Here is a 12166-nt window from a genome sequence, read left to right as displayed (position 1 = left end):
ATACAAAAATTACCCAGGCGTGGTGGCGGGCGCCTGTAATCCCAGCTACTCGGGGAGGCTGAGGCATGAGGATCCCTTGAACCTGGGAGGCGGAGGTTGCAGTGAGCCGAGACTGCGCCACTGCACTCCAGCCTGGACCACAGAGCGAGACTCCGTCTCAAAAAAAACAAAAACAAAAAAAAACAACCCTAAAGTCTTTTGATAAACAAAAGGTACACGTGCACACTCTGTCTTTCTCTCTCTCTCTCTCACACACACACACACACACACACACGCATTCTCAGATGCCCTTGCCCTAGCCTGTGACCCTCATGGATGGGAGTCAGTGCTTCTCTACCTACCCTCACTAGCCAAACCTTTGTAAAATTTGTACAGTTTATATTATAAAGGAAGAAAAGTAATTGAATAATAATGCTAGCATTTTGGGAGGCAGAGGCAGGAGGATCATTTGAGGCCAGGAGTTCGAGACCAGCCTGGGCAATATAGAGAGACCCCTGTCCCTACAAAAAAAAAAAAAAATTAAAAATTTGCCAGGTGTGGTGGCATGGGCCCATAGTCCTAGCTACTCAGGAGGCTAAGACTAGAGGTTCACTTGAGCCCAGAAGTTCAAGGTTACAGTGAGCTATGATCGTGCCATTGCACTCCAGCCTGGATGACAGAGAAAGACCCTGTGTCTCTAAATAAATAAATACATAAATAAATAATTCTTAAAATGTGCTGATAGAAAATTATAATTTCTAATTACACAGGACACGCCTTCCACATCCTGGAGGTACACAATTCCAGGCTTCGCCTTTGGGTAAGGCTATGTTATCTGGAAACTGTAGAGGGGTGTGGCAGTTTCTCTTCCTGTCTTTTATCATCTACTCCCACACACCCACCGCAACAGCCTATAGCCCTGCACTCAGGGTCATGTCCTTGTCTTTCCCTGAGGGATGGTTATTAGGAACTATAATATGAAACTTGCCATATGTCACTTATTGTGGGGTGTTTATAAAATCGTGATCCATGACATCAACATCCTCTGTGAGAAGACTAATAAACTAGACATTTATTTCAGATCTATGAAGAAAAGCTCTTTTGCTTTCAAGAAACTGGTAAGCTTTTGCATGGCAGATGACCAAAATTATTAAAACCGACTGTGTTTTTCTATCTACTTTGGCCACCAGGAAGCTCAGAACCAGTTTCATGGTCTTAAGCCATAAAAGAACCCATTAAAAAAAATCCCTTTTGTAACTATATACCAACTTTCCCCCAGTGCTGTGGTTCTCTACTCAGCATGTACATTGCAATCACCTGGGGAGCTTTCAAATAGACTAAGTGCCCGGTAACCAGCATCAGAGGCTATGATTTAATGGATTCTGACATCAGTAGTTTCAACAGCCTCCCAGGTGATGCTAATGTGCATTTAAGGCTGAGAACATCAGCTTAGTTTCCAAATTTTGCTATACATAGAAACATTTGGGAATTTTTACTACTGCTCCTCTCTGCCTCCCACTCCCAGGCGTTATGATTTAATTAGTACAGGGTGCCACATGGGCATCAGGAGCTTTAAAAGTTCCCCAGGTGATCCTAATGCACCACTGCCAAGTTTAGAGACATCTGGCCTAGATTTATATTACTATTCTTTTTTTTTTTCTTTTTCTTTTCCTTTTCCCCGAGAGACAAGTTCTTGCTCTGTTGTCCAGACTGGAGAACAGTGGCATGATCACAGCACACTGTACCCTCAAACTCCAGGACTCAAGTGATCCTCCCACCTCAGCCTCCCAAGTAGCTGGGACTACAGGAGCACACCATTGTACCGGCTAAGGTTTTTTGTTTTTTGTAGAGATGGGGTCTCCCTTGCCCAGGCTGGTCTCGAATTCTAGGCTTCAAGTGATCCTCCCACCTTGGCCTCCCAAAGTGTTAGGATTACAGGCATGAGCTACTGAGCCCAGCCTATATGCCTTTTCTTTATATATTTTCCACCACTCTGTTTTTTCATTCGTTTTTTTTCAACTTAGAGGAAATTGCATGTTATAAACACACTCAAATCTTTTGTGGAGTGAGGTAGAATATAAACAAACATACTTAGAAGACTAGCATCATCAATCAGTTTACCCATCATCTACTCTGAAGTCTCAGATTAGTAATCCAATTTCTTTTCTTTCTTTCTTTTTTTTTTTTTTTTTTTTTGAGATGGAGTCTCGCTCTGCTGCCCAGGCTGGAGTGCAGTGGCGTGATCTCGGCTCACTGCAAGCTCCGCCTCCTGGGTTCACGGCATTCTCCTGCCTCAGCCTCCCAAGCAGCTGGGACTACAGGCGCCCGCCACCACGCCCGGCTAATTTTTTGTATTTTTAGTAGAGACGGGGTTTCACCTTGTTAGTCAGGATGGTCTCGATCTCCTGACCTCGTGATCCACCTGCCTCGGCCTCCCAAAGTGCTGGGATTACAGACATGAGCCACCTAGCCCAACCTAGTAATCCAATTTCTTTGGGGGTGAGGGAGGACAACCCTTAAAGGGAACTATTCAGCAGGTGTATCAAAAGCAATGTTTCCTCCAGTCCGTTTTGCATCTACCCAACAATTACATAGAACCTTAACTTGTAGAGTCTCCTCTAGAATTCGTTTCCCTTTGTTCCCTTTGCAGGCTGCCTTTAGCATCTTAGATTTGATACTGTGGGTGTTTGGCAAATACTCTTCACTTGGATCATCAGAAATGAAAAATTAGCAGGAACAATTTTAAAGTACAATGGGTAATCACAAATAGGGAACATTTTAATGCTAAGCCTCTTTACAAATTATTGAGTTGTCTTAGCAAAACTATGTAGATCATAATCACATCTGGGAAGTACCCAAAGAAGAAGAATACATAATGTCACATGTTTAAGTTTCATATAAATAACACTCGATTTTTCTCTTCAATTTTCAGTGATGATTTGTCTTCTTTAAAAAGAAGGCCTATTAAGCAGACATTTCGAAGATGGCCACAAACCTGTAAAAACTGGTATCATCTTGGAACTCAGCACCATTCCTTGACACACAGAAATGTAACAAATTTAAGCCGTTTATGATCATATAAGAAATCTATATTATGCTTCAAATTTTTGACAAATATAGAGGTGGGTAGCAAAGAATGACTTGTAAATAGCTCATCTTTTTGTATAAAAATAGCTACATTAGGCCATTCTTGCAATGCTATTAATGAAGAAATGCCTGAGGCCAAGCACAGTGGCTCACACCTGTAATCCCAACACTTTGGGAGGCTGAAGTGGACAGATCCCTTGAGTCCAGGAGTTCGAGACCAGCTGGGCAACAAAGTGAGACCTCATCTCTAAAAACAAAAAATACAAGAATTCGCTGGGCCTGGTGGCTTGCGCCTGTAGTCTCAGCTACTCAAGGAGCTGAGGCAGGAGGGTCCCTTGAGCCTGGGAGGTTGAGGCTGAGGTGTGCCGAGATCACACCACTGCACTCCAGTCTGGGCAAAAGAGCCAGACCCTGAAAAAAGAAAGAAAGAGAAAGAAAGGAAGAAAGAAAGGAAAGAAAGAAAAGAAACACCTGAGGCTGGGTAATTTATAAAGAAAAGAGGTTTAATGGGCTCACGGTTCTGTGGGCTGTACAGGAAGCATGGTGCTGGCATTTGCTTCTGGGGAGGCCTCAGGAAGCTCACAATCATTGGTGGAAGGCGATGGGCAGCCATCACGTCACATGGTGAGAGCAAGAGCAAGAGTGGGTTGGGAGGTGCCACACACTTTTAAACAACCAGATCTCACATGAACTAACTGAGCTAGAACTCACTTATCACCAAGGTGATGGTGCTAAGCCGTTCATGAGGGACCCGCCGTCATGATCCAGTCACCTTCCACCAGGCCCCACTTCCAACATTGCAAATCACATTTCAACAAGAGATTTGGAGGGAACAAACATCCAAATCATATCAATAGCTAAGCTTTTAAAGAAATACATTTTTGAATAACTATGTGCTATTTATTCTAGAGCTCTAAAATTAATAAAATATAGTTTATTAGTTTATTACTGATAGCGATTTACCTTTTAAAAATCATCATTTCTAAAATACCTGGCTTTGTTTTCACATTTTTACTACGTACTTTTTCATGCCTTTTAATTAGTCGTCTGATTGAGTAATGATAGTGTTCTTTGTTTTCTTACTGCATTTATTTCCTCACTTGGGATGGGTTGGGATGTTAATCACTGCATTTCTGTTCTTTTACCGGTTACGCTTGACATTTTACATGCATGCTGTTAAATTAAGTTTAACAGCCTAAAGGTTTCTTCATACATAATGAGCTATAACCTAACTAGATGTGTAAACAGACTGTAACTTACTCTTGTATCAATCACTGACTTTCGGCCAATCAAAGAGGCCAACTCTTCAAATTGTGTTCAAATAAGGCAAACACTGAGCAGTAACCAATTCAGCTATTTCTGTACCTAACTTCTGTTTTCTGTAAGTCACTTCCCATTTTCTGTCCATAAACCGTCTTTGGCCACACAGCAGCATCAGGGTCTCTGAACCTATTCTCATTCCAGGGAAGCGCAATGTTGCTGGATTCTCAAACTGTTCTTTGCTCAATTAAAATCTGTTAAATTTAATATGCCTGAAATTTTTTTTTTAACAATGCCTAATGTAACAAACCAAAAGTTCGTATCTTAATCCCCTATCTGAACATGAAGCTTAAAAAACTATTTTGATCAAGGACCAGTCTTGCTCTGGCTTTTTTTTTTTTTTTTTTTTAGTTTTTTCTTTATTTTTAAGAAAAATTTTTTAGAGACAAGGTCTTGCTATGTTGTCCAGGCTGGTCTCAAACTCCTGGCTTCAAGCGATCCTCCTGCCTCAGCCTCCCAAAATTTTGGGATTACAGGTGTGAGCCACCATGCCTGGCTCCTGTCTTTTTTTTGAAACCACCAAATTAGATATTATTATTATATTATACAAGTTCTTCTAGCATTACCAATATGTTTTGCAGTTTCTTTTCTAAGGATTCCTTGTTGCTTCTTAGATGTTCCTTTGGGATCATTTTCCTTCTTCCTAGGAACATCCTTTTAAATTCCTTTAGTAAAGGTCCATGGGTAATAAACTTGCAGTTTTTGTTTATCCAAAAATGTCTATCCACATCCATGAGAGAGGGTGAAATTATATACTAGAAATAGACTCAAAGCTGTTGTGGAACATGGCTGGATGTAAATAGATGTTCTTAATGTGATTAGTGTCCTTGATTGGTTTTACCCAATCCCTATTACTCTGAAGTCTCAGGTTTATAATCAGTTTATTTTGGGAGGGTTCTTGGGGACAGAACAACCCTTCAGAAAAAAATAAAAGGGTAGTCTTATCCCAGGTATAATGTTGTTTCATTCTCAGCACTCTGAAGATGTTATCTCTCTGATTTCTGGCTTCCATTGATGATGATGAACAGTAAGCTCTTAGTCTAATTATTGTCCCTTTTAAGTCATTTGCCTTATCTTTAGCTGCTTTTTGTTTTCAGTGTTCTAAACTTTCTGTAATTTGTCTACATGTGGCTTTCCTTTTCTCCATCCTGCCTAATGTACTTTGCGTTTTTTCTATCTCCCATTTAAATCTTATTTCTGGAAAATGCTCAGCTACTAATCTATTCATATATTCTGTTTTCTCCATTGTCTATATTCTGTTCTTCTAGGGCTCCAATTAATTATATGTTAGACATTCTCATTCTATTCTCTGTATCTCTTAACCTTTTTCGTATTCTGTTTCCCTGTCTGCTACACTCTGGGTGATTTCTTCAAACCTCTAGTCTACTTTGCTAAATCAATATTTAGTTTAGTCTAATCTTCTGTTTGGCCCATCAGTTGAGTTTTTTTAATACAACAATTAGACTCAGTAATTGTATCTAAAGGTTTTTAGCCAGGTGTGGTGGTGCATGCCTATAGTCCCAGCTACTCAGAAGGCTGAGGCAGGAGGATCATTTGAGCCCGGGAGTTTGAGGTTGTCTGAGCTGTGATCACACCACTACCCTCTAGCCTGAGTGTCTCAAAAAATTTAATTAATGAATTATAAATAAATAAAAGTTTTATTTAATTCTTTTTCAAATCAGCCTCTCAATTCTTGAGTTTCTTATTTTATGTCTCCAAATTTTATTTCATTAAACATTTCATAACTAATTATTTTCTATTTTGTTAATTCTCATATCTAAAGCTTGGGGTGTGTCTTCCATTGTTTCCGCTGACTCTTACTCATAGTAACTTCATTCCATGTGTGTTGATTGGAAATTCATTTGGTTGCGATTTTATTTGGTTAGTCTTAGTCTATGGGAATCCAAAATGGATTTGTGTTTCTTTCTACTAAGAAGCAGGGGACCCTACCACTCTAGGGCCACTTTAGCCCCATTTGAGAGTCTCAATTTAGTGCAGAAGTCTCAGGTTCAGCCACCAGCCAAAGGGTTAGTCTCCCTTCAACTGCAATATTGATATATTAATAGCATTTACTTGCTGCTTACTGCATCATTGTTTGGTTTTAGCTAATAGAGGAGTATGATAGACCATATTAGTATTTGGCAAATATTTACTTCCTCACCCCCAGTAAATGTCCCTGTCCCAGTGTTATTGCACCTACTTTGGCCAATGAAATCTTAGCAGAAATGGCAGTGTGGCCACTTCAAAACAGACATCATAAGAGGTTTGCAAGATTCTGGGACCTCTTTTGTGCTCCTGCCCTCCACCATGAGAACATCACATCCTAGATGAGCTTTGCTCCTTAAGTATCAATGAGAAGAACCATGAAACAGACCTGAACCTGACCTGGAGCCTGGAGCAGGGTTATCCAGCTTAACAGCTGCCAACATGCAATGCAAATTAGAAATAAATGCTTACTGTTGTAGACATTGAGATTTTGAGATTTTTGCTGTACATCATTATCACAGCCAAAGCTGACTAATATATGGGACCTTAAAGGATGAATTCCCTTATGAACTGCAAGCCTAGCAACACATTTAAAAAATTAGGTTGACTTATAACAGGGAGACCCTTCAGTATAGCTAGACCACCACAATGCCAGCCGAGGAAACTCAGTTGCCGCTCTTTACTAATGATGCATTTGAGATTTAATGCAATTAAGTCTTTTTTCCTAAAAGAAGCACAGCCAAATTTGTTTTTTGTTTGTTGGTTGATTGTTTTTTTTTTAGACAGAGTCTCACTCTGTCACCCCGGCTGGAGTGCAGTGGCATGATCTTGGCTCACTGCAACCTCTGCCTCCTGGATTCAAGCGATTCTCCCGCCTCAGCCTCCCAAGTAGCTGAGACTACAGGCATGCACCACCATGCCTGGCTAATTGTTGTATTTTTAGTAGAGATGGGTTTTGACCATGTTGGCCAGGCTGGCCTCCAACTCCTGACATCAAGTGATCCACCCGCCTCGGCCTCCCAAAGTGCTGGGATTACAGGTATTAGCCACAGTGCCTGGCCTAAAATTTGTTTTTTTTTGTTCTTCTTATTATTATTTTTATCATACCTTTACATTCTACTTCATCCCCATTAACACATGTACTGAACTTTAAAATCAAACATCAAGTTCCTGTTTCCTAGAAATTGGGAAAAGCATTAATTGGTTGATATGGCTGGCCCCTGTAACATATTACCACACATTTGGTGGCATAAAAGAGCAGAATTTTTTTCTTTTGCACATCCGGAGCCCAGAAGGTCAAAATTAATGTCACCAGGCCAAGGTACAAGGCCCTCTCTGAGGGGGAGAATCAGTGTCCTTGCCTTCTAGAGCTGGATTCCTTGTATTCCCTGGCTAACAGCCCCTCCCTGCACCTTAAAGCTGGTACCATCTTCAGAGCCCTCTCTCTGCTGAGGTCATGATACCACCTTCTTTCTTCTGTCTACAGTCAAATCTCTTTCTGCCTCCCTCTAATAAGGACACGTGATTATATTTGGAATCCACCCACATAATCTAGGATACCCTCTCACCTCAAGATCTTTAATTACATATACAAACTCTCTTTTGCCACATAATAACATTCACAGGTTCCAAGGATGAAGACCTGGATATCTTTGGAGGCCATTATTCAACCAATTACAAGAAGTGTGATGGCAAATTTTAGTCTATACTTTTCTAGATGCCACAGAAATGCTCAATTATTTGAGTTCAATTTTTGCAAGATAAGGGAAATGATTTGGGTTTTTTTCTACTTTCTTTGCATTTTTATTTTCCAAAAAGCAAAATAAATGATGTCCTTCAACTCTAGGGTAGGCATTCTAAAACATCGGCTTTAATAAACAATGTTGACAAGTTTAGTGATTATTTATTTTTAAAATAACAATGTCTTTAGTAGTCTGAAAAATCTCTACGTAATTTAAAAAGTGACCAATGTGTCTTCTCATTTTAGAACTCTTTTAGTACTCCACTAATGAAATTTCAAAGCATGCTTCTAGATGATTTTCTCTACATTTATGGTTTGTTTAAAAGCAGGAAGACCCAGAAAAAGTTATTAAATGACTCAACTAGCAATTCCAAAGATGTCTCCAACAATGTTGAATTTGCTTTCTGCTGTGTGTGTCAGGGGTGGGTGGGGGTGCATATTGGAAAAGAGAAAGGGGATTCACATAGTGGAAATTCTCTTTAATGATCAGTAGCGCCTTCACAATTTATGAGTTTGCAGTTGAGATAACAAAACCAACTCCTTCAGCTAATAGTGGCAAACAAACATCCTATGTTTTTCCTTACAATTTTTCCAGCGCTCATCCCCCAATGCAACCCCCATCATGCTCACTGTCCGCCCTCCACTCCTACCCCTTTTGGAATAATAATCTTCTAGTTCTATGAACTATTCTTTCAGTATCACCGACTATGTCAAAATTTGATCCCAACAGAGATTATTCCTCCATAGACTCTAGATTCTGTTCACCGATGTCTCTTGAACATATTCCTGGGGAGTGCTCCCATCTTATCACGGTGGTACTATGGCTGGAGCTGAGCCACTTCTCTGCCTTTTCAAGAAGGGCAAAACTTAAGAGAACAGGATTAAAATACAGGAGATTAAAAAAAGCCAAAGGTTTGACAACATACTTAGTTGGCAAATTCACGGGGGAAACAAGACATATCACTGGTGAGAATGCAAAGCAACCCCTGTGAGGAGACATTTGTCTGTGTCTAGCAAATTACACTGGTATTTCCTCATTAATCCAGCAATCCCACGTCTAAGACTATCTGCACTGGCAAAATATGAAGTGACATGTGCATTTGAAATATCAAAAGACTGGAAACAATCCTAAATGCCCACCAATAAAGAAGTAGTTGAATCAATTATTGGTATAGCCAGCCAGTGAAGCGCTGTGTAACTCCATGAGGACGCTCCCTCTACACTGATGTGGAGTAATCTTGAGGGTATATCAAGTTAAATAATAATTTTTAAAAAGCAAAGTGCAGAACCATGTTTATCCTGGGCTACCATTTGTATACAAGTGGAAAAGCATGGCTGAGTCTAGAAGTACAGCTGATATCATCAGGGCTCTATCTCTCAGCTCTGTGTGTTTCTGCTTGGCTTCATTCTGCAGTCTGGTTCTTTCCATGTAGTAAATAAGGAGACTGCTTGCATCCCAAGCTACACCCCCTCCCTGAAAAAAAAACATAAACAAAACCTAGTTTTTGTCAATTACACCTTAATAAAGCTGGGGGTGCTGGGAAGAACTGCTTCCTCCCAAACTATTCTACCAAACAAGGAAGGTGTAGACTGGGTCACTGTCCCACCCCTGTGCATGGGGGAGAAGAGAACAGGGAAGAGTAGCTGACAGCCCCACAGGGACCATATAGCATGAGGAAAGAAAAGGTCTCCAGATAAAATGAGGGCACTGAACACACAAGGGCAACAGATGCCCAGTCCAGGATGAGACCTCTGAGAATGAGACAATAGGAAGAGATTATTGCATTTGTCCAGACATCACATTTCTACATAAAATATGTAAGATATTAGGCACCATGAGCCTCCTTATCTCAGGGTATCAGATGGAAAAGCTGTCAACGTTTCTTAATCCTTCATATCCAATGACTCATAGCAATATATTGAATTAATTTAGGGGCTGCATTATAATTTCTTTTGGGTTTTCCAGTGTACCTACTAGATTTTTAAGGGAATCTGAAGTCCATCCTCAGGAAACAAAGCAGGAGTTTTAGAAAGTGAATTCTGAACTGTGAAGGTGCAATAAAAACATCAGGACTCACGCCTGTACTAGGACAAAAAGCTTTCAGTGTTGTTTCATGCCCAGAGAGCTCAGCCTTTGCTTCCCCGAGCATGGTTGCCTCTGGAATTCCCTGGGGCCAGCTGTAATGAAGATCTGCCAGGAAGCAGCGAGTATTGCTTATTGGAAGGAGAGAAATGGCCTTAGAAGCATTTTGGGAGAGGCAGAGATGCTTCCATTGGCCTTGTCCACCCAGGCCACCTGCTCAATCTTAGAATTTTCGAAGATGGGCAAAAGCATCCAAATGAAAGCAAATTTCTGGGCACCGAAAGGCTGTGATGGCTAAGAAAGTCTGATTTTTCTGGAGGGTCCCACCTGTTTCAGTATGAAAACTTCTTCTTTTTTTAAAAAAAAAAAAGAGAGAGAGACAGGGTCTCACTATGTTGCTCAAGCTGGTCTTGAACTCCTGGCCTCAAATGATCCTCTGGCCTTGGCCTCCCGAAGCACTGGGATTACAGGTATGAGCCATCATGCCCAGCCAATATGAAGGCTTCTATAATAATACATTCTCCCTGCCTGTTTCAGCATGAAGACTTCTAAGACCAACTACTGTTATAAATTGTTACAAATATAATACCTCCTCCTCTCTTTCCCTTTATCCTAAAACCAGACATCTTTGGATCATGGCTAGAGACATCTTCTGTCTCCCACGGTTGAAACTGAGCCTGGGGAAATGGCCTTGTTACCTTTTCATAGATCATTCCAGGAAGCCCTGCTAGCTAATGGCCTCTTATTCTGTATGGTCCCCAAGATCTGCTAATCGAAGCCTCAACTCCAATTAGTATGCAACAAACAAAACTCCTATTTTTTGTTTGCTTGTTTTTTGAGACGGAGTCACCCTCTGTCACCCAGGCTGGAGTACAGTGGCGCCATCTTGGCTCACTGGAACCTCCTCCTCCTGAGTTCAAGAGATTCTCCTGCCTCAGCCTCCTGAGTAGCTGGGACTACAGGTGCATGCCACCATGTCTGGCTAATTTTTTTGTGTTTTAGTAGAGATGGGGTCTCACAATGTTGCCCAGGCTGGTCTCGAACTCCTGAGCTCAAGTGATCCACCTGCCTCAGCCTCAAAAAGTGGTGGGATTGCAGGTGTGAACAACTGTGGCTGGCAAAACTCCTATGCTTTTTGATAGCAGAACTTTCTCATAATCATGCATACTCACATACTTTTTAAAAACTCAGATATCTTGTCCAAGTGTGGTGGTGTGCACCTGTAGTCCCAGCTAGTTGGGAGGCTGAAGTAGAAGGGTCGCTTGAGCCCAGGAGTTCCAGGCTGTAGAGTGCTATGATTTAGCCTGTGAATAGCCACTGCACTCCAGGCTAGAACACTTCTTTCTAAAAAAATGTTTTTAATCAGAAATTGTCTGTTATTTTATAGCATTAATTACCCTATATTAAAACTGCAGCACATTGAAAATTCATTTACTTTCTTTAATTTTATCATTAAAGTTTGTTTGACACTGTAAAGTACTTCTTGGAGACTCATGTCATGTACGCTTTTTCTTTCTTGCCACTGGCATCCACAGATCCCCCTCCCTCAACACAGATATACTGAGTGAAGACTGGTACTTGGTTCACCATGAGGTTCTATCGACCTCAACTTCTGGCATAGAATCCACCTATGGTATAACGAACAGGTGCCCAGATTCCCACCCACCCTCCTGGCTTCTCAGGTCCTTGACCTCCTCATATCTAGTGACCTTCTCTCTCTATGCCCTGGACCTTATCAACACTCCAAACTGCTCTACCTTCAAACTCAGGGATTTATTTATTTATTTATTTATTTATTTATTTATTTATTTAGAGATGGAGTCTCACACTGTTGCCCAGGCTGGAGTGCAATGGCACGATCTTGGCTCACTGCAACCTCCGCCTCCCCCATTCATGCGATTCTTCTGTCTCAGCCTCCTGAGTAGCTGGGATTACAGGTGCACACCACCACATCTGGCTAATTTTTTGTA

The 12166-nt window shown here is 41.0% G+C and overlaps 1 annotated feature.

Annotated features, from left to right (window-relative positions):
• Positions 670-1082: a transcriptional cis regulatory region, noted in NCBI's record as "candidate enhancer chr18.1280 targeted for multiplex CRISPR interference". NCBI's record gives its function as "positively regulates NEDD4L gene expression with high confidence in K562 cells {active_cell/tissue: K562}" and the evidence as "EXISTENCE:mutant phenotype evidence [ECO:0000015][PMID:30612741]".

Source organism: Homo sapiens, chromosome 18 (assembly GCF_000001405.40).
Source record: "Homo sapiens chromosome 18, GRCh38.p14 Primary Assembly".
NCBI classification, from domain to species: Eukaryota; Metazoa; Chordata; class Mammalia; order Primates; family Hominidae; genus Homo; species Homo sapiens.
This window is presented reverse-complemented; position numbering and strand designations above follow the sequence as displayed.